Consider the following 23,802-nt stretch of genomic DNA (forward strand, 5'->3'; position numbering starts at 1 on the left):
CCAGCAATCTGGTTCCAGGGTTGTACTCTTAACCACTATATTATAGTGCCTCTCAAAAGTTTGTGCCCAGCCTGGGCAACATGGCAAGACCCCATCTCTACAAAAAGTTTTAAAAGTTACCCAGGTGTGGTGGTGCATGCCTGCAGTCCCAGCTACTTGGGAGGCTGAGGTAGGAGGATTGCTTGAGCCCAGAAGGCGGACGTTGCAGTGAGCCAAGATCATGCCACTGCATTCCAGCCTGGGCAACACAGTGAGACCCTGTCTCAAAAGAAAAAGTGTTTGTGGAGTTTATAACAAAAATATTTATGTTAACACTTTGTTAGAAACATCAATAATAATAAAAACAGGACTCAGAGTCTTCTAATTAAAGATAGTGGATTGAACAGTGGTATTTAGTTCCACTCCACTAAAATGACAGTGGTGATTTAAGGCATAAGCCTTAGAACAAACAGAATGGTATCTAAGACAAAAACAATAAAACTCTGTTTTTTGGCAGACAGATAAAAAAGTAGAAATCTTTATTGCACCTGAGAAAGCTAGGAAAACTGAGAAGCAATTTGATTTACATCACTCTCTCCTCTTTCTCCCCTCCCCTGCCAACAGAGTCTGCTGATACCAGGTACCTCTAAAGGTGAAGGTAAAGGTGAAGCCAAAAACAGGATGATTACTTGAAAGTGTGTTTAAGAAGACCCACAGATTCCCTCTCTCTTTCTGGTTAGGCAGAACCCTCTCTGACCTGGGCAGAAGATTGGAAGTTGTTCTGATGATGACAAAACTGAGCCTCTGGAATGGGTTTATTGGGATACCAGGTGCAGTTGAGAAAGGGTCAGGGGTGGCTACTATATGGAAAAATGTGTATATTAAATGTTGAGATACCCACCAGTCTTTCTTCTCCACAGCTCCAATAGCTGCTAACAGCCAGATAGCTCTTGAGGCAGCAGATTGGAAGGAAGTGTGTGTTTTCTAAGGCAGAAGTCCCCATCCCCCAGGCCACAAACTGATACTGGTCCGTGGCCTGTTAGGAACACCCCAGGCCACGCAGCAGGAGGTGAGCGATGGCACGAGAGCAAGTGAAGCTTCATCTGTATTTACAGCCACTCCCCATTGTTCGCATTTCCACCTGAGCTGCCTCCTGTCAGATCAGGGGCAGCATTAGATTCTCATAGGAGTACAAACCCTGTTGTGAACTGTGCATGAGAGGGATCTAGGTTGCATGCTCCTTATGAGAATCTAATGCATGATGATCTGTCACTGTCTCCCATCACCCCCAGATGGGACAGCATAGTTGCAGGAAAACAAGTTCAGGGCTCCCACTGACTCTACATTATGGTGAGTTGTATAATTATTTCATTACATATCACAATGTAAAAATAATAGAAATAAAGTGCACAATAAGTTGTAATGTGCCTGAATCATCCTGAAACCATCTTCCCCCAGCCCCAGTCTGTGGAAAAATTGTCTTCCACAAAACCAGTCCCTGGTGCCAAAAAGTTGGGGACCACTGTTCTAGGGAATTTGACCAGGCTAAGAGAAAAGACACAAATAATATGATAACAGGAGTTTCCTCACAAAATGTTCTAGTCAGGTAACCCTAAGATGAAGACCATAGTCAATAGGCTATATCCATGCATACATAACCTCCAATTCACTTTCTGGTGCCCCATTCTTAAATACAGAGCAAAGAGTGAAAAACCAATAGACTTTTAAGGGAAAGTGTCTAATTTAAAAGACAAAGATTAAAACAAACTGAAATTTTAAAAGCCAATTCAGAGGAAGCAAACATTAAGCAAAGGAAACTCTTTCAAAAGAAATATTACTAACACTCTTTTAAAAATTATTTTCTTATCCATAGTGTTCAGTACAGCATCAACTTTCTTATGAAGAGATGAGTGTATATTACATTGATGAAAAAAAAGATGCTTCACAGAAACAGTTCTTATAAAAATTAAGATAGTGGAAATGAAAAATCCAATAAAAGGATTAGAAGACAAAGTTAAAGAAGTCTTGCAAAAAGAAGCAAAAAACCAAAGAAATAGAAAATTGAAGAAACAAAGATTAGAAAATTAGAGGATTAATCCAGAAGTCCCAATAACTGTACCCTAAAAGTCCCAGAAAGAGTGAACAAAGAAATTGGAGAAGAAATCATCAAAAAGTTTCTAAATCAATTTTCCCAGAATTAAAAAATATAACTTCACATATTAAAAGAACCCATCAAGTGCCAGCACCAAGACACATCATTGGTGAAATAACAGAACACTAGAGGAAATGAAAAGATCCTATATGCTTCCAGAAAGGAAAAAAAAAATCATAAAAAAGATCAAGAATTACACTGGAATTTTCAATATCCATAATGGAAGCTAGAATAAAGAAACTAAGCCCTCAGTTTAAAGGGAAAATGATTACCAGATTGGAATTTTAACAGCCATGTCAACAGTGAAGATAGAAGATATTTTCAGATATGCAGTATCCAAAACAATTTACCTTCTATGCACCCTTTCTCAGGAAGCTCCTTAAGGATTTCTTTAAGGAAGAGAAAGGCATGGGATCCAGGAAACAGCGGATCCTTGTCTTAATCTGTTCAGATGACTATAACAAAATATCAGACCAGGTGGCTTATAAATAACAGAAATTTATTTCTCGCAGTTCTGGAAGCTGGGGAGTCCTAGATCAAAGTGCTAGCAGATTCAGTGTCTGGTGAGGTCCTGCTTCCTGTGTCCTCACATGGTGGAAGGGGTGAGGAAACTCTCTGAGGCATTTTTATTTTATTTTTATTTTTTTTTCCTGGGGTCTTTTCATAAGGGTGCTAATCCCATTCAAGAGGACTCTGCCTTCATGACCTAATCACCTCCCAAAGGCCCCACCAAATACTACCACACTGGGGATTAGGTTTCAACGTATGAATTTGGGGGAGACACAAATATTTATTCTATAGCAATCTTGCATAGGCAAGAAAGAGAGGAAAGGAACCCTAGCACGGTGGAGGACAGCAAGAGGACACCTGTACGAAGACAGAGAGCAACCAGTCCAGATTAAAGTGGTTTAATAGGCTCTGGCAGCAACTTCCTCAACACAATGGTATTAATAGATTATCAACTGTTTTTAAGTTACTCATAAAAGTTTTAGGTAACTGAGAGAAGTCTGGGGTTGAATTAGTAATTAATACATTAAAAAGAAAGCAGGCCAGCCACAGTGGCCCACGCCTATAATCTCAGCACTTTGGGAGGCCAAGGTGGGCAGATCACCTAAGGTCGGGAGTTCAAGACCAGCCTGACCAACATGGAGAAACCCCGTCTCTACTAAAAGATACAAAATTAGCCGGGCGTCGTGGTGCATGCCTGTAATCCCAGCTACTCAAGAGGCTGAGGCAGGAGAATCGCTTGAACCTGGGAGGCAGAGTTTTGGTGAGCCAAGATCGCGCCACTGCACTCCAGCCTAAGCAACAAGAGTGAAAGTCCGTCTCAAAAAAAAAAAAGAAAGCAATGGGGAAAAATAAGACAATCCAAGGTGGTAAGGAAAAATAATCACAGAATATTACAATAGTTCAGCTGTGAACCACATTTATGATTATGTTATTACTCTGCTGATATAATAAAAAGTATGCTACAACCGTTTATGGAGGATGTGAAGAAGGAGAAGTTAGAGCAAAAGACAAAAGAAAGTTAAATCCTTAGTTTCCATCATGGGAAGGCATTAGATAATGGGTAAAACTGGAAAATCAAGAAGTATCATTTACAAACATACTATTTAAAGATATGGAAGTAAATGTCTAAAGTATCAGCTAAAATAGCTTGAAGTAATTGCTCTGAAAAGGAAGAAATGGCAGGAGAGATCTTTTTCTGAACAAACTTTATTTTAAGAAAAGTATAAATGATTTTGTCCTCTTCATTCTCCTTTTCTATAAGCAGTGTAAATAACATATAATGGAGGAGTAAATTTTATTGTATATGTTTTAAGTTGGTACAGAACCCTTAGACTAAGATATATGAAATCAGTTTAGTTTCTTATAATGATAGAACAGAACAGGCTGGGCACGGTGGCTCATGCCTGTAATCCCAGCACTTTGGGATGCCAAGGCAGGCGGATCATTTGAGGTCAGGAGTTCGAGACCAGCCTGGCCAACACGGTGAAACCCCATCTCTACTAAAAATTAGACAGGCGTGGTGGTGGGCGCCTGTAATCCCAGCTACTTGGGAGGCTGAGGCAGGAGAATCACTTGAACCCGGGAGGTAGAGGTTGCAGTGAGCTGAGACAGCGCTACTATACTCCAGCCTGGGCAAAAAAGCAAGACTCCATCTCAGGAAAAAAAAAGAACAGAACAGTGTAGATTAAACTAGAATAGACCAGCAATCTCCTCACATATGGTAAGTTTTATAAAACTCTTGTTTTAATTTTATGTAAATGTAAATACATATAAGTATACCAGATTACAATGTGAAATGTATTTCTTACAGTGGCTCACTGTCAAAAAAAGTTTTACGATGCTGTTACAGACAGCTTGACAAGGTGAGAAATGCACCAGTTTTTCTTTTATTTTTTGTTTTTGTTTTTTTGACACAGGATCTCACTCTGTCACCCAGGCTGGAATGCAGTGGCGTGATCACAGCTCACTGAAGCCTTGACCTCCAGGGCTCAAGTGACCCTGCCACCTCAGCCTCCCAAGTAGCTGGGACTGTAGGCATGTGTCACCATACCCAGTGAATTTTTTATTTTTTTTAGAGACAGACAGGCTATCACTATGTTACCCAGGCTGGTCTTGAACTCCTAGGCTCAAGCAATCCTCCTGCCTCGGCCTCCAAAGTGCTAGGATTACAGGCATGAGCCACCATGCCTGGCAGAAGTGCACCAGTTTTGAAGTTTTGTGGTAAAGTACAGATTTTTGTTATGTGCTTTTGAAAAAGAAATATGCATTTTTGTAGCTTCCTATAACAGAATCCACAACAGATATGGATTAAAATTCTCTCCTCTTACTAGCTGTGTGACTTCTCACACAGAGGAGGTTTCAGTTTCCTCATCTATTAATACCAGGGATAATAATACTTATTTCACAGGATGTGATGATTAAATTAAGGTAACATATGTAAAGACCTGGTTTTACATAAGGGTTCAGAAACCAGTGAAGAAGAAATGTAAATGCTTATATGTATAAAACATGCTGTTTTTGTAATTTTAAAAAGACATGTAATATTTAATTTGAAGCTTCATCTATATTTTACTTTTAACAGATCAAAATATTCTTACACTTCAGTACTGCTTTTATTACAGAAATATCTAAAAATGCATACGCCTTCCCCTATCCTGAAACACAATTTGAATAAACTCCAACAGTGATTCCATATAGAAGGGTTGCCATTAAGAAATGCTTACTGAATCTTTATTTTTAACATTTGGCATAAAATAGTTACTAATGAACTTTTGTAAGTAGTTCATTTATTTATAGTAATTTATAACAATAAATCTGTTATTTATAATACTCAAGTATTTATTATATAATTATAATATATAATAAATATATTATTTATATAATTATAATATATAATAAATATATTATTTATATAATTATAATATATAATAAATATATTATTTATATAATTATAATATATAATAAATATATTATTTATATTTATAACATACTTGTTATTAATAAATATTTCATTATTAAAATATATTTTAAAATAAGGCCAATATAATATTATAAAATGCTTAAAGCATCATTTCAGCATTCATCATATTATTTATTTTATATAAGTATTACAAGCTTTTTTAAAAGCTTTTTTTCAAAAGTACATAATAAAAATCTATATTTTTCACAGTTTAAGAGATATAAAGGCTTTTATGTCTTTGGAAGTATTTATTAAAAATTACATCTTAAATACTCTACAGTGGAAAGTAAGTTAGCCTATAATCCTGATAGGGGTCAGAGTAATAACACAGAATGGACAAATTACACTGTCATTCTACTTAAATTATTTAAGTTATTTAATTTGACCTGTAGATAGTCTCTTGTCTTCTCATCATGCCTGACTTTTAAGTGGGAGGTCTTCATTCATGATGATCCTTTAATGGAAGCAAAGCTTTCTCCATTTAACCCATGCTGTTATCAATCATGTACAGGGATAAATGAGCCTGTAAGATTTTGCCAGTATCACAAATGACACTTTGACCTGAGGCCAACATCTTTATTTGCTTCTCCAGTGATTCACTTCAGCAGATATTAACCAATTTTATAATCCATGAAAGGCAAAATTAAAGGACACCATCCATAAAACAGAATAATTCCTATCAGCAACAAAGTGATGTGTATTATCTTATAAATTATATGGCCATACAGTGTGGTAATGTAATGAAGTAAAGATGGTAATAACCAAATGCCTAGGGCAAACGCTAATATGCATTTAATCACACAGCATGAAGCCATTTGTCACTACAGTTGAATGCATGTGTACATAAAATACATGAGCCACGTCCTTATTGTTATACTATAACAGCATCAGTTTCACACTATCATTTCACATAATAACAACCAGTAGGCTTTGACATTAGCTAAAACATTCAAAGAATATAAACACAATTGTCTTTTTTATATTTACAACTATAAAAAATTTTCGATTTTTCAGTAACAAAAACATTTTTCCCAAAAAAATTATTTGGTAAAGAACCATAAGTTTCAAGTTGCTTTTTTCTTAAATATCACATAAGTTGGTTTCATCATATTGTCTTTTATTCTTGTGAATACTCTCATAACTTGAAAAGAATGGCAAATTAGTCCTATAAGCCTGTCTCCTTCATACATAATTATTAATTTAGTATGTAAATGTAAAATATGGATGGCATTTGTCACAAAAAGTGAATCTTTGTGTGAAAAATTATACCCATTAATTATACACAAGCTGGTGCATGTGTAGAGTAAAAAAGATACAGAACAATCAAAATATGATCTAAAAACATATAAACATGAATTATATGATCTGGGATTGCTACAAGATTCATTGAGAACATCCTTAACTCCATCAGGACCTTTTATAATCTAATAAAATTATAACTATTACATTTCCTAAGGTATGCCCCCCAAAAGTAAAGAACTGAAAGATCTTTTATGTCCCATATAGCACAAGTGCCAAGCTGGAACTGATTACACTTACACTCATCAGATTCTATCTTGTAGTAGCAAAAGTTGCCTTATCCGTTATACTGCAAATTCCTTGACCAATGGCGAAGTCTTCCACACTTTTGTATTCTCATACTGCCAGATATAATAATTTACAAAAGGCAGGCACTAAATTAATTTTTGTTGCATTGATTATACTGAATTGAATAGATCACTCATATCCTTTGGAAAAGGCAAGAGAAGGATACTTGAAAACCATGAATCAAAGAAGGCAGCATGTACAATCAGAGTGTTTCCTATAACTGTGATAGATAAACTTTTAGAAGGATATCACAAAGCTGGAAAGACTAGAGAAGAGCAATAAAGGAAGAGTATCCATATACTGATTTTTAAAAATTAATTAGACTTCTCATATACAGACAATAAAGAATAACAATGATGTAATTCAATAAATCTTTCTGTTTAAGGAACTACAGATGATACAAATTTGATGGTACAAATCTTTTTTTTTTTTTTTTGAGACAGGGTCTTGCTCTGTCATGAAGGCTGGAGTGCAGTGGTGTGATCACAGCTCACTGCAGCCCCGACCTCCGGAGCTCATGAGATCCTCCCACCTCAGCCTCCCAAGTAGCTGGGACTGCAGGCACATGCCACAACACCCAGCTAATTTTTGTATTTTTTGTAGGGATGGGGTCTCACTATGTTGCCCAGGCTAGTCTGGGCTCAAGCGGTCCTCCCACCTCAGCCTCCCAAAGTGCTGGGATTACAGGCATGAGCTACTGTGCTTGGCCGAGTTAATCTTAATCTCCAGGTATTTACAATCTAGAAAAATGGACAAAGCACTTATACAAATTAGTTTAACTCAAGGCATAGTAACACCAGGCATAATACAAAAGACATGGTAGATAAACAAAAAAGGGTGCTATAAGTGTTCAAAGAGTTCAAAGTCATGGTGCCCAAGCCTCATTCACTTTATCTCTAAAATAAGAATGCTAAACTAAGTTTAATTTTTATATTGTTAACTTTTAAACATACTATCCCATTGCAAAAATAGTTATAATTTCAACAGCAAATTAGATAAGATAGTATCTAGTGCAATTCTAGCTGTCAAATTCTGATCTAATTAACCTATGGAGATGAGATTTTAGGCTACTTATAATTCCAAAAACAGTTAATGGAGAAGGATTTTTAGAAACATAAAGATTAAATGCTTAGCCTTAGGGGGAAAAAAAGGGAATAATACTCCTCTCATTCTTAGCGACTACAGTGAAGGATAAGGTGAAAGGGCCACAGTACAAAAATCACTGAGTTTCCAAAGAGATCAGTTATAAAATCAAGTGTAAACCTGACCTTGTTAAATAAACTTCAAAATACCAGAAGAAGAAACCTAAATCCAATATTAATGTAAGCAAATAAAGGAAACAAAGAAAAATGTATTCGTTCATTTAACAAACATTTATTGAGTCTCTTCTATATTCAAAACGTAGTGATTTTTTTAAAAATACAGACACCCAGGCTGGGGTTGTTGGCTCAGTCCTGTAATCCCAGCACTTTGGGAGGCTAAGGCAGGAGGATCGCTTGAGGCCAAGAGTTCAAGATTAGCCTAGACAACATAGTGAGACCCACATCTCTACAAAAAAACAAAAAAATTCGCTGGGTGTGGTGGTGCACACCTGTAGTCTCAGCTACTCAGGAGGCTGAGGTGGGAGGATCACTTGAGCCAGGGAAGTCAAGGCTACAGCTAGCTATGATCGTGCCACTACACTCCAGCCTGTGTGACAGAATGAGACCCTGTCTCAACAAAAAATAAATACGACACCTTCTTCTCAAGGAACTCTAGTAGAGAGATACGGATATACAAAATAATTATAATACAATGTGATCATGTGTGAAGATGGACACCCAGCATGAGAAAATCAGGGGTGGCTTGGGAAGGTCAGTCAGCCTGAGGAAGGTGACTTCTGGGCTAAGATTTAAAATCTTAAAAGACAAGACATTAGTAAAATGAAAAATTAGATAAGGGTATTTTAGAGGGAAAAACAGCATAAGTAAAGGCAGAGATGGAAGAAACATCATTTTAAATGAGGAACTAAAAGTAGTGTAGGGAGATTGAAGTCTAACAGGTAAGGCTGAGAGAAGATGAGATGAGGCTTGAGAAGCAGGCAAGTCTTAGGGGGTCTTTTATGTTATGTTAAGGAGGCTAAACTAATACCATCACATATTCTGCTCTATTATACCAAATGCCTTGCCATATATTCTCTGTTTAAACATATTTTAAAATCAGATCAAATTCCATCTCCTCTGAAGATTTTCTTACAAATCCCATTCACACCAATTTCTCCTTTTCCGAACTATACTTATTGTCAGATCATATGGTTAGCACTTTATTCTGTATATTGCCCCATTCTGTTATTGTCTATTCCACATAATTTTGCACTTTATTTATCCATTTATAATACTGCCCATAAATAATGTTATTTTTTCATTAACTGTTTCATGTTTGAAGAAGGCTTATTAACCTCCAAGTGAGGAAAAGCCTTGAGAGCATAGTGAATACTTGATAAACATTTTATTAAATTGCTATAAATTATATAAAATTACAAAAACCACTTTTAGTTTCTTAAAATATTTACACTATTATGAGTAAAACATTCTCTGTTCATACTAAAATCTTTACCAAATTTCTCCTTGTTTTAAGAAACAGAGGGAGGATTATATATATAAATTTTAGAAATTTAAAAATAGTTAAAACATGAACTGTATATGTGTGAAGAGATTGAGAGAATTAGATATTATCTCCGTAAAGATCATTATGAAACTATAACATAAAATAAGCTACTAAATGTACTATAAATTCAACCAATCTAAGGCAACATACCAGAGACCTTTGGAACAGGTACATAAACACTAATTTGAGCCACCTTATAAATAAAATGTAGCAAAATCCTTTAAGGATTTTATAAAACACAACTTTTAACTAAACTAAACTCCAATTTTTTTCAAATATGAAACAAGAATTGCCAAAATAGCTTAATAAAGTTGAATCCAACACAGCTAGAAATGTACTGCTCATTGAACTTAACTGAAAATAAGTTTTAGTTTTATATGAAATTAATCAGTGCCAGAAAATCTCATACAGGTTTTTCTTGTTACTAACAGAAAATTTCCATGGGTCATCAGGAAATTAAGAAAGCTGAATGACTTCCTGATGTGTTTCTCTGTCATGTCAATATTAGCAAATAAACGAATTAGGAAAATGACATCAATAATTTACAATAAAAATTTTCACCTAAATGTACATTACAACAAAAACATTTCTGCCTTAATTATCTACATGATTATTTCCCAAAGTATGTTCTAAGGGGCACAAGGCCCACAAGATACATTTCTAAAAACAGGTTCCACAGTCAAATAAATCTGGGAAATCCCATACACTAACTCCCCATTTCAGAGATAAGCAGTCCCATTAGCTTTGTTGGAGCCTGTTTAACTTTAATCCGTATTTCCCAAGTTTACCTTGATCTTGAAACACTTTTTTTCATAATTCATAAGACAAGCTAATATTCTGGGGAACATGTATTCCAAAGAACATACTTTGGAAAATTCTAATCTACAAAATTGTTATATGTTCTTCCTTCACTAGTGGCCTAAACTGATTGTAAAGAATAATTTCCCAATTAAAAAAACACTGTTCTCAGCCAGGCGTGGTGGCTAATGCCTGCAATCCCAGGACTTTGGGAGGCCGAGGCAGTGCAATTGCTCGAGCTCAGGAGCTCAAGACCTCAAGACCAGACTCAGCAACATGGTGAAACCCCATCTCTACCAAAAAACAAAATCAAAAAGTATCCAGTTGCGGTAGTGTGCTCCTGTAGTCCCAACTATTCAGGAGGCTGAGGTGAGGGATCACTTGAGCCCAGGAGGTGGAGGCTGCAGTGAGCCAAGATCACGCCACTGTACTACAGCCTGGGCAACAGAGCCAGACCCTGTCTCAAAAAAAAAAACCACACACACACACATACACACACACACACACACACACACACACAATCCCCACCACTGTTCTCATTCAACTGTTACCAGGACTGATAAAAGAACATAATCCATCAACAAAGACATTTACCATTGAATCGATGACTTCTTTCAACTATAGCTCTAACACAATTTCCCAAAGTGTGTTCCATTAATAAGCACAGCACAAAAAAATAGGACCCCACGGTCTAGTGCAGTAAAACTGTAGACTGTGACTCATTCATGAGTCAAAAAATCAATGTAATGGGTCTTGACCAGAATTTTTTTTTTAATGAAAGGCTAGACTAGTAAAAAATAAAATAAAAAACATAAGTGTACACTGCTTATGGTAAAGGTAAGTATTGACTCATGTGTAAGTATTTACTCATATGGTAAAGCTAAGCATTGACTAATGTCGGCTGTAATCAGAGAAGTTTAAGAATGCTGTGAGTTCAAAAAAAGTTAGGTTAAACAAGTTCCTTCACTGCAGGACATTTTAGAGTCCTTAAATGAATTCCAAGAGTATTTTTGGCCACAGAAACCTTTTTTTATTGAAGCATCTCACAGGACTAGTGCTCCCTGGAACACAATTTAGGAAATACTGTCTTTTGGAAACGGTGTACCTCCAACTGTCTTGAGGTACACTATATAAATAACAGTGCCCAATTTTCACCTCCTTCAGAAAACTCAGTCAGATTTCTCATCTTAACTATAGCATCCTTCACAATTTGATCAAACTTGCAATAACTTTAATTTGGTTAGCATGAAGTAGTGGTTAAGCATCTGGGTTTCAATTCTAGCTCCACCACTTGTCGGCTGTGTAATCAGCCTTGCATTGTTATTTAATCTCTTTCCCATGGTTTTCCCATGAAGTGTAAGGAGAATACTGGGAATACCTACGGTACAGGGTTTGGGGTTTGTTTTTTTAGGATTAAATGAGATAACTTCCAGCCCCTGGCGTGTAATAAGCATTCCACATATGATATCTATTACTATTAGAATAACACTATCACCGCACCTGTACAGTTATTACGGGATACACGGCCAGAGCGAAAGAAACTAAAAACCCTATGCTGCCGCCTGGTGGACACTCGGAATTTAAAAATCTGTCATTCGCTTCCTTCCTGACACTACGATATGAAGCCGTATGGAAATTAAAACGTTTTCTCAAGCTGCATTAACACACTTTATAAATCATCAAAGTGGGGAATCTAATTTTCCAAAACTTAACAACTACCCCCAAGGCAACCCTGAAACCAGGGAGAGTTGTAAAGACTCAAATTGGCCGAAGAAATGGCTGAGAGAAGACACCAGTGAAGGACTACAGAGGAAACTCCATCCACAGCGTATTTGCTGATTCTCAGGTTGGGATATTTCAGTATAGATTTTTTCTTCAAGGTATAAAACAAAGAGAGCCATAGGAATTTATCACAACTAAAGCAAAATAACCAATAATCATCAATTCGAGGATCTCAATATAAGCAGAAGACTCCGTGGAATCTTCACATTTTCTTTCTAAAAGAAGTGCACTGATCATAAAGGTTCCCATAAATGACTTAAGGGTTGTCACTTATTTTCAGCAGCAAAGTGAAGTGGAAGATTGCAGCAATGACATGAATAATTTATTTTATTTTATTTTATTTTTTTAGACAGAGTCTCGCTCTGTTGCCCAGGCTGGAGTGCAGTGGAGTGATCTAGGCTCACTGCAACCTCCGCCTCCCGGGTTCAAGCAATTCTCCTGCCTCAGCCTCCTGAGTAGCTGGGACTACAGGTGCCCGCCACCACGCCCGGCTAATTTTTGTATTTTTAGTAGAGACGGGGTTTCACCATGTTGACCAGGCTGGTCTCAAACTCCTGACCTCAGGTGATCCGCCCGCCTCGGCCTCCCAAAGTGCTGGGACTACAGATGTGAGCCACCGCCCCGACCAAATAATTTATATCTAGAATTCAGCATTATCAGGATTAGCAGGGCAGTCATTTCATTCCCAGTGAGATTCCATTTAAATTTGCTCGTGCAAGGCAGTTTGGGAGAAACAAAATCACCAGCAGAATGAAGAAAAAATAGAGAAATGTCCCTGGGAATTTACACACTTCTGCAACTGCGCTAGAACTTTCGCACTATACTTAAAACATTCTGCAAAAAGTAACGTTCACCAAAGAAAAAGTCGAGATTCACCAATAACAGTTCCAAATGTTGCTAACTCTGAGCGGTCAGAGTTGTTTGAAAATTTTCAGAAGAACAATCGACATGATTGCATTGCATTCATAAGGCAAATATGAGGTTTAAAACAAAAACCACCACCACGCAAGGCACATGTACAGAAGGCGCTTCTCCACGATGAACAGACGAGACCCTCATGACTCACCCGCAGTCTCAATCCTGCCCAAGCAGAGATCCAGATGGATGCCTCAGTGTGGCTGCTTCTCCTGGGTCGGGAGCGTGGAAGATTCTAGACACAGCCCAGCAGTCAGGAGGCTCCAGGCCAAAGCAGCCCCTTGGCAACCAGAGCAAGGAAGGGTAGGTTACGCAGCTGGAGGTGCAGGGCAAACCCGTAAGTGGACCCTGCATGAAAAGATTAGGGCTGCTTCCTAAACAGCCCAACTACACGCTTGTGACTGCTCCGACTTACCTCAGCGAAGCGCGCCTCTAGCTCCTGTTGGCCCTTCCGGTTCACCTTTTCCCGCCCTAGGGCACTTCCGGCTTGAAGGTCATTAGCCTAAGATACGTGGGTAATCTTGAGCATCTGGGGCAAAATATGATTGATTTTATTTTCTTTTTAAATACAAGCTTCGGAAAAGATACCTGGATATTTGATGTTTTTCCTTAAGTACAACATGTATTGGCTTATATATTCTTTTTTGTTTTTGTTTGTTTTCGGTTTGTTTTTGGTTTTTTTTTTGAGACGGAGTCTCGCTCTGTCGCCCAGGCTGGAGTGGAGTGGCGCGATCTCGGCTCACTGCAAGCTCCACCTCCCAGGTTTATGCCATTCTCCTGCCTCAGCCTCCCGATATATTCGTTTTTTAAAAAAAAAGTCTTTGGAAAGATGAAAGAAAAATGAGTAAGTATTACCTGTGGGGAGCAATGGGAAGTGTGTGGATGGGAACGGGAGAGAGAGGGAGACTTCACTGAATAGCTTTTTATACTTTTTGATGTTTGCTTCATGTGAATGTGTTACTAATTCAAAAAATAAATGTTAGCCGGGTGTGAGGGTTCACTGGCTCATGCCTGTAACCCCAACAATTTGGGAGGCTGAGGTGGGAGGATTGCTTCAGGTCAGGAGTTCGATACCAGCCTAGGCAACATGGTGAGACCCCCGTCTCTACCCAAAAATACAAAAATCAGCCGGGCATGGTGGCGTGCGGCTGTAATCCCAGCTACTTGGGAGGCTGAGGCAAGAGGATAGATTGAGCCTGGGAGGTCAAGGCTGCAGTGACCCAAGACTGCACCACTGCACTCCAGCCTAGGCAATGGAGCAAAACCCTGTCAAAAAAAAAAAGAAAAGAAAAGTTGCTTAATTTTTAAAGTGAAATAGAAAAAAAACTGCAGTTCTAATTATACTGATAATCACACCTATTTTAAGCACCTAACTAATGCTATGTTTCAGTATGTTATGTTGAATAGTCATTCAATAAGAATGTAATATGTTTCAGGCCTACATTGTTTTTGCATGCTACCAAAATGTAAAAGAAGTGGTTCCTGCCCTCAAATTTTTTTTTTTTTTTTGAGAAAAAGTCTCATTCTTGTCCCCCAGGCTGGAGTGCAATGGCACGATCTCAGCTCACTGCAACCTCCGCCTCCCGGGTTCAAGCGATTCTCCTGCCTCAGCCTCCCGAGTAGCTGGGATTACAGGCGCCTGCCACCACACCTGGCTAATTTTTGTATTTTTAGTAGAGACGGGGTTTCACCATGTTGGCCAGGCTGGTCTTGAACTCCTGACCTCAGGTGATCTGCCCGCCTTGGCCTCCCAAAGTACTGGGATTACAGGCATGAGCCACCGCAGCCGGCCCCCCGCCCTCAAATTTTTAACCACGTTTTCCAGTAAAAATCTGTCTGGAATTCTTTTTACTCCTTCCCTTTCTCCAAGCGTTTGCCCAGATGTCACCTTTTTAGGGAAAGCATTCCTAACTACCCCATAGTAACACCCATGCACATCCCCTACTTTGACCCCACCTTGTTTTATTCTCTGTAGCACAATCACCATCTCGTCTGGTATATTTATTAACTGTATCCTAGGACACAAGCTTCGTGAAAACAGAGATGAATTTTGTTCACTTGCTTACCAGAATCTAGCACAATGCCTGGCATGTAAATGCCAAATAAATTCATATGAATGAATAAATGGACTATGACCTTTCAATTTGGTATTTACCAACCATAACAGCTATACTCTAATAATAACTAATATTTACGATAATTTACTATGTGCCAGACAATGAGCTAAGTGTTTTTACATACATCATCTCATCTTAGTCTCCACAACAATCCTATTACTATGCACTTTTTGCCTATTAGAAAACTAAGGTGTAGAGAGGCTAATGAGTTGAATGTAATCACCTCTGAATGCCCTCCTAACCCCATGCAATTTCCCCAATGATCAGTGCTATGGTTTGAATGTTTTTGTCCTGTCCACGATTCATGTTGAAACTTAATCTCCAAAGCAAGTGTGTTATGAGGTGTGGCCTTTAGGAGACGATTGAGTCATGAGGGGAGAATAGGATGTGATGCCCTTATAAAGGGGTTTTTCGGCCAGCTGTGGTGGCTCATGCCTGTAATCCCAATACTTTGGGAGGCCAAGGTGAGTGGACCACTTGAGGTTGGGAATTTGAGACCAGCCTGGCCAACATAGAGAAACCCCGTCTCTACAAAAAATACAAAAATGAGCCGGGCATGGTGGCAGGTGCCTGTGTAATCCCAGCTGCTCCGGACGCTGAGGCGTAAGAATCGCTTGAACCCAGGAGGCAGAGGTTGCAGTGAGCCGAGATCACACCACTCCACTCCAGCCTGGGTGACAGACTGAGACTGCCTCAAAAAAAAAAAAAAAAAAAAAAAAAGTAACAACTTAAAAAGTTAAAGGACTTAACCATTATTTTCACTTTGGGGATATCACTTTCAAGTCATGATACATGTGAACATTTAAAGAAACCTAACTGTTTCTATCAGCAGTTAGAAACTGCATCTATGAGCCAGGAATGGTGGCACACATCTATAGTCCCAGTTGCTTTGGAGGCTGAGGCAGAAGGATCACTTGAGCCCAGGAGTTTGAGACTGCAGTGAGCTATGATTGCACTACTGCACTCCAGCCAGGGTGACAGAGAGAGACCTTGTCTCAAAAAACAAAAAACAAGTTTAGAACTCTGTACATCTTCCTCCACTTGCCTGGCATATCCTGACTCTGCCACAACCAGCAGTTCACTTTGCCTTTCTTTGTACATGCTGCTTCCTCTACCTGGATGCTCTTTACTGTCTCTAGGCCTATCTAAAAACACTTTCTCATCCTTTAAATTCCAGTTCACAGGTCCCCTCTTTGAAATTTCATCAACTCTCCACTCCCATCTAAGTAGAACTAATCATTCCCTGCTTGGTGCAATCACTCGACTCTACATATCTTTATTGTAGTATTTATCATAGGCCCTTGCAATTGTCTGTATACACTTTCTCTCTCCTAATAGACTGTGAACTTTTTGAGGACAGGGACTTTGTCATATTTACTTTTAAATCCCCAATGGCTAGCACAGTAGATGGCACACAGCACAGTGCTTAAGAGCAAATGGCTTGGTGCAAATCCTGACTCTGCCATTTACTAGCTCAGGACATTGGGCAAGGCATTTGACCTCTCTGTGCCTCAAAATCCACATTGGTAAAATGGGAGTAATGATACAGTATGATCATCCCTAATCCAAAAATCTGCAATCCTAAATGTTCCAAAATCTGAAACTTTTTGAGCACCAACGTGATGCTACAAGTGGAAAATGCCACACTGGACTTCACATGACAGACTGCCGTCAAAACTTTGTTTCATGCACAAAGTTATTAAAAATATTGTATAAAATCACCATCAGGCTATATGCATAAGGTGCATAGGAAACATAAATGAATTTTGTGTTTAGATTTGGGTCTCTAACCCAACATATCCTGTTGTGTATGTGCAAATATTTCAAAATCCGAAAACCCTGAAATCTGAAACACCAAAGCATTTTGGAGAAAGGACACCCAACCTGTAGTACCTACCTCTAAGATACAAATATGACAGATAAGGTGCACAAAGTGCATAGCACTGTGCTTGGCCGATAGTAAGCATTCAAAAAGTATGAGCTGTTGTATTAGTATTTTAGACGAGGTCTCGCTCACTACGCAGGCTGGAGTGCAGTGGCACAATCACCACTAACTGCAACCTCAACCTCCTGGGCCCCAGGGGTTCTGGGCCCCAGTGATCCCCACCTCAGCCTTCTGAGTAGCTGGGACCACAGGCGCACGCCACCATGCCCAGCTATTTTGTTTGTTTGTAGAGACAGGGGTCTCCCTGTGTTGCTCAGGCTAGTCTCAAACTCCTGGGCTCAAGTGATCCTCCTGCCTTGGCCTCCCAAAGTGCTGGGATTACAGGCGTGAACCACTGTGCCCCATCTTATTATTCGTTATTATTGTCATTACAATTTTTAGGAACTCAGTATGTATAAATTGGTTAAATGAATTCATGAATGAGTAAGCAAAGATATTTTCAGTGGCTAATCAGGCATCTAACTCCAAGCACAGGTAATGGGAAGTTCTTCCTCTTTCTACCACATGCTCTCTTGTTTCCCTTTTTTCTGTCCCCATTTTCCCCTCTTAGTTAATCTAATGTAACTTTACATATATGCAAATTAAACACTTTTTTTTCACTACAAAGTCTGTGGGTTTTTGTTTGGTTTTTGCGTTTTTGTTTGTTTGTTTGTTTTGGGGGGGGGCGTTGAGACAGAGTCTCATTTTGTCACCCAGGCTGGAGTGCAGTGGTGCAATCTTGGCTCACTGCAGCCTTACCTCCTGGTCTCAAGCGATCCTCCCTCCTCAGCCCCACAAGTAGCTAAGACCACAGGAGTGCACCACCACACTTGGCTAATTTTTTTTCTTTTCATTTTTTTTTTTTTTTTTTGAGACAGAGTTTCACTCTGTCACCCAGGCTGGAATACAGTGGCACAATCTCAGCTCACTGCAACCTCCACCTCCCAGGTTCAAGTGATTCTCCTGCCTCAGCTTCCTGAGTAGCTGGGATTACAGGCCTGCGCCACCACGCTCAGTTAATTTTTGTATTTTTAGTAGAAATGGGGTTTCACTATGTTGGCCAGGCTAGTCTCGAACTCCCGACCTCAACTGATCTGCCCACCTCACCCTCCCAAAGTGCTGGGATTACAGGCATGAGCCACCATGCCTGGCCCCATTTTTTGTATTTATTTGTATAGACAGGGTTTTATCATATTTCCCAGCCTGGTCTCGAACTCCTGAGCATAAACCACCATGCCCAGCCTGTGGGTTTTTTTTAATGAATAGAATGTGAATCTTTATTACAATTTGGAATTATTTTTACACTTAACATAGATTAAAGCCTCAGACTGTCTTAATCCAGTCCTAACCATAATTGTCAGAATGAAAGTATGTCATTTTTACTTGATGTAGTAAAGGGAGTAAGCATATTTACATGTCTCCCAAACTAGGTTCTCTGTAATCAGTTTTCATATCCTACACTATTAGACCTAGAGCTGGTTAGAATTGGTTGTGAATAAGCACAGTGACTCCCTAGGAGAATAACAGGAGATAATATCTACATCAAAGAATAACTTATATGCACGAAGTAAATGAATAGGTTTCTGCAGCCTACTTAAATGCTATAGTAAAAACAAGTGCTTATAACTTTGTTATAGTTACAGCACTTACCACATTTCATTATAGTTATTTCTTTCCATGCTTGTGGGCAGAGAATGTATCATATTCATCTTTGTATCTGTAACCTCAGCGCAGTGCTTGGCACATAACATACATTTAATAAATATTAATGGATAAATATTTATAGTCAGAGTTGCATATTAAAATTTTCATGTAATAATTGATAGCACCACAAACTGTAGTTGAAATCTTTCTAAAATTTGCTGTATGTATTGAATTTTCACTCTAGCTTTTTACTTTGTATATAATATAGTAACATGTCAATTAGCTATTGAATTTTAAGTGTCAATATTAGTATGATGGATTAATCAACTACAAATAATTATCTAGAAGATGTACTACATACACCATGGGAGAGGTTTTATGTGAACTTATTATTTATTTATTTATTTATTTTATTTAACCTTATTTTAGATATAATGTACATGGGAGAAAAAGTCAAACATTATTCTTGAATTCAAGGTTGCAGTGGACTATGATCAAGCCACTGCACTTCAGCCTGGGCAACACAGTGAGACTTCATCTATATATTTTTAAAAGTTATTCTTATTATAAAATTGAGATTAGGCATACTCTTAATAAGACTTTTGCTTTTTTCCTAATAGAATAGGTTTTCTTTTGAGCTTTTAATTCAAAATTTAATGAAAAGCAATAAAACAAACTCAACATATGTATAAAATTTATCTTTTTTGGCCCCCTCAACTAACACCTCTTCTGGACCCCTTTACTTATGTTAATGATGGCACCATCCTTTCAGTTAATTAAGATGGAAACTTCAGAGTAATAGTATACTTCTCTTTCCCTCTCTCTTATTCCTCTCCTCCAAGTTGCAGGCCTAGTCAAGGATTTAGGACGAAGTAGGAGAAGAAGAGTGAAGTAATGAGTCTTAGGGTTCCTGCTTAAGCACCTGAGTAGATAGTATAACCATTTAATAAAATGGAGGAGGAAAGTCAACACTTTAGGGGCAAAAAAATTGTTATCAGGATGCCTCGGCTGCAAATAACAGAAATATTCAACTTAAATTGAGTTGTCAATAAAGTTATTGTCTCAGATAATAGGAAGTCAAGAGATGGAGGATTCCTGATGTGATTTGTGAAATCACTTGCTCTATTCCTTAGTCTCTTTGTTTTGCCCTCCTCCAGTGTTGGCTCCATCCTCATATAGGCAGCGAGATTGCTTTTAGTTCTGAGCATCACATTTATATACAACAACATAAAAAGGAAGAAGGCTGGGTAGTCTAGTGACTACTTAAAGGGAGAAAAATCTTTCCAGAAACTTTCTGGCAGACATCTGCTCATATCTCATCGGCTCAAACTCATTCACATGCCTATCTTAAACCAATCACTGACAAAGGAATGGGATATCCATGGCTGGCTTATATAAATCAAGAGTTACTCCTAGAGCTGGAGACAGAGCCATCTTCCCCAATCCACATGGTGGGTAGGGGTACAGAAATCCTAACTGGCTGGGCGCAGTGGCTCACGCCTGTAATCCCAGCATTTTGGGAGGCCAAGGCGGGCAGATCATGAGGTGAGGAGTTCAAGACCAGCCTGGCCAACATAGTGAAACCCCGTCTCTACTAAAAATACAGAAATTAGCCCGGCGTGGTGGCACACACCTGTAGTCCCAGCTACTTGGGAGGCTGAGGCAGGAGAATCGCTTGAACCTGGGAGGCAGAGGTTGTGGTGAGCGGCAATCGCACCACTGCACTCCAGCCTGGGCAACAGAGTGAGACTCCATCTCAAAAAAAAAAAAACAAACACTAACAAAATTATAACTCTGCCAATAACAAAGAAGGAGAAAATGGAGTTAAGTAGGCAATCAATAGCATCTGCTACAAAAATCGGTGGTTCTATTTTTGCAGATGTCAAGTTTAATGTATCTATGAGACATCCACATGGAAAAGTCAAAAGGGCAACTGGAAATGTTGAGTCTGAAGCTTAAAGAAGGGTCTCAGCTGGAAATACAAATTTGGAAGTGAATAGCATAATGTGTGTAATCCATGGAACTCGGTTAGATCACCCAGGAAGAGAACATAGAGAAGAGGACCTTAAATTATTCATCTTTAAATCAGAGATAAAACATTACATATTTTATTGGATTATTATGAGAGTCAGTTGAGACAATGAATATAAAGCACTAGATACACAGTGAAAACTCAATATCTGTTAATCATATGCAAATCAATATCTCTGATAGCCAAATTTCAGTCACAGTAACAGCCTATAAAAAAGATATTTTCTATCAGTTAGGTCCTTCCAAATATCATACTTCATAGATGACTGCCTGCTGCACTAACATTTATAGTTCTCTCGTTCTCTTTTTTTCTGGTATTATTACTATATGAAATGTCTAATTAATTCAAAGTTTTATTTATAAAAAGTTACTAATATCATGAAGGCATGACCAAAAAACACAGGAAAATGTTCTTAAAATATAAAAACACACCAACCATAATTTAATCTTAGTGAATCAAAAATGTTGTCATCATCTTCTCATCCCTCAGAGTCTTCATTAGTATCACCAATTGTGAGAATATTGGTTAATATGACATGACACCATTTTGCTAAGATTGTACACTTCTGTAAAGTGATAGATGATCAAGGAAAAAGCTGTATACCAAAATATAAAAGCAAGTTACAAGCATCAACAAGCAATTGATGAGCTTACATATACTGTATACAGAATTCTTCCTAACAGAAACTCATCCTACATCATAAAGATTGTTCTAACAAGCAATTCCTGGTGATTATTACACTAAAGTGTGTGAACCACTCACTAATAACTACTGCTATGGAGGAGAACCTCTTGTACCTGGCTATCACAGCTTCAGATTATCCCTGTTTTCTGAAACTATTTACCATAATTTTTTTGAGACAGAGTCTTGCTCTGTTGCCCAGGCTGGAGTGCAGTGGCATGATCTCAGCTCACTGCAGCCTCTGCCTCCCAGGTTCAAGCAATTCTCATGCCTCAGCCTCCCACGTAGCTGAGACCACAGGTGTGCACCACCATGCCCAGCTAATTTTTCTTTTTTTTTTTTTTCTTTTTTGGATTTTTAGTAGAGACAGAGTTTCACCATGATAGCCAGGCTGGTCTCAAATTTCTGGCTTCAAGTGATCTGCCAGCCTGGGTCTCCCAAAGTGCTGGGATTACAGGCCTGAGCCATCGTATTTACCATAAGGTTTGTTTGTTTGTGTTTGTTTTATTTTGTTTTGAGATGGAGTCTTGCTCTGTCATCCAGGCTGGAGTGCAGTGGCGTGATCTCGGCTCACTGCAACCTCTTCCTCCCAGGTTCAAGCGATTCTGCCTCAGCCTCCTGAATAGCTGGGATTACAGATGTGCGCCACCACATCTGGCTAATTTTTGTATTTTTAGTAGACACGGGGCTTCACCATGTTGGCCAGGGTCTTTTCAAACTTCTGACCTCAGGTGATCCACTTGCCTTGGCCTCCCAAAGTGCTGGGATTACAGGCGTGCGCCACCACACCTGGCCAGTATTTACCATAATTTTTGATACTAGTTTGTCTTCACTAATAGACTAATGTACTAAACAGCATGCACCTTTTAGTAAATATTAACAAATCACTTATCAATTTAGTTCATAGGATTCAATTATTTAGTCAATTCCATAAGGGAACATATAAAATTGAATTTTTATACCTTTAGCTTGACTAGATCTTGAACTTTGTATAGTGCCATGAAATGGCAGCTATCCTATATTGCCATGCCTGAAATAGTATGCATTAATCAATTATCCTAGATAGTATAATGTGACATAATGCTATAGATTTTTCTTTATATTTGAAGATTAGACTGCTAATCATGTCTGGATATCTTTAACTAAATTATGATCTAAAAGTGCAGTATGTAATCATTTTGTGGGTAATTTATTAAACCTGGTGTTTTGTTTGTTTGTTTGTTTGTTTTTGAGACAGAGTCTCGCTCTGTCACCAGGCTGGAGTGCAGTGGCACAATCTCAGCTCACTGCAACCTCCCCATCCCAGGTTCAAGCGATTCTTCTGCCTTAACCTCCTGAATAGCTGAGACTACAGGTGTATGCCACAGCACCTACCTAATTTTTTTTTTATTTTTAGTAGAGACAGGGTTTCACCATGTTGACCAGGCTAGTCTCGAACTCCCGACCTCAAGTGATCCACCCACCTCGGCCTCCCAAAATACTGGGATTACAGGCTTGAGCCACCACACCCAACCTAAACCTGGTATTCTTGTCAAATTGAAAACATCATTTCGTTTTTTTTGAGACAATATCTCACTCTGTTGCCCAGGCTGGAGTGCAGTGACACAACCACAGCTCACTGCAACATCTGCCTCCCAAGATCAAGTGATTATCCTGCCTCAGCCTCCCGAGTAGCTGGGACTACAGGCGCACACCACAACGCTCCGCTAATTTTTGTATTTCTAGTAGATACAGGGTTTCACCCAAGCAGGTCTCGAACTCCTGGGTTCAGGTGATCTGCCTGCCTTAGCCTCCAACAGTGCTGGGTTTACAGGTGTGAGCCACTGGTGCCAGCCAAAGATATAATTTCTAGTAACTTTTCATAGTCAGGAGTTTTCTTTACAAACTAGAAGTGAGTGCTTAAAACACTAGAGGTGGCCAGGAGATTTGAATTAGCTCAGTTTTCACGTTAATAGCCAACTGACCCTACCTTTTGCCTATGGTTTCAAATACTGAACTATTCCTTTGTGCAATAAGACAAGTATTTTCCCAGAAATAGTGAATAGGTTGCCCTGAGCCTTCCATATTCTCTTCCTT

At 38.7% G+C, this 23,802-nt stretch overlaps 1 protein-coding gene across 4 annotated transcripts in view, besides 2 other annotated features; it reads right to left on the bottom strand.

The window, feature by feature from the left end:
* Positions 1-23,802, bottom strand: part of CCDC73 (coiled-coil domain containing 73) — a 227,865-nt gene that overhangs the window by 178,149 nt on the left and 25,914 nt on the right. Inside the window, exons 4-6 of one of the 4 annotated variants that reach the window (XM_047427029.1) lie at positions 21,481-21,640; positions 13,744-13,857; positions 13,480-13,608 (exon numbers count right to left, since the gene is read on the bottom strand). The gene's annotated coding sequence lies outside the window, so the exon portion shown is untranslated. Of the gene's footprint in view, positions 1-13,479; positions 13,858-21,480; positions 21,641-23,802 lie in introns of those variants that run through there. The other 3 variants (NM_001008391.4, XM_047427030.1, XM_047427031.1) reach the window with 3 other exon arrangements.
* Positions 12,109-12,158: a silencer, noted in NCBI's record as "silent region_3224". NCBI's record gives its function as "represses an Ori minimal core promoter by ATAC-STARR-seq in GM12878 lymphoblastoid cells {active_cell/tissue: GM12878}" and the evidence as "EXISTENCE:reporter gene assay evidence [ECO:0000049][PMID:35858748]".
* Positions 12,169-12,288: a silencer, noted in NCBI's record as "silent region_3225". NCBI's record gives its function as "represses an Ori minimal core promoter by ATAC-STARR-seq in GM12878 lymphoblastoid cells {active_cell/tissue: GM12878}" and the evidence as "EXISTENCE:reporter gene assay evidence [ECO:0000049][PMID:35858748]".

The sequence above is a fragment of the Homo sapiens genome, chromosome 11 (assembly GCF_000001405.40).
Source record: "Homo sapiens chromosome 11, GRCh38.p14 Primary Assembly".
NCBI classification, from domain to species: Eukaryota; Metazoa; Chordata; class Mammalia; order Primates; family Hominidae; genus Homo; species Homo sapiens.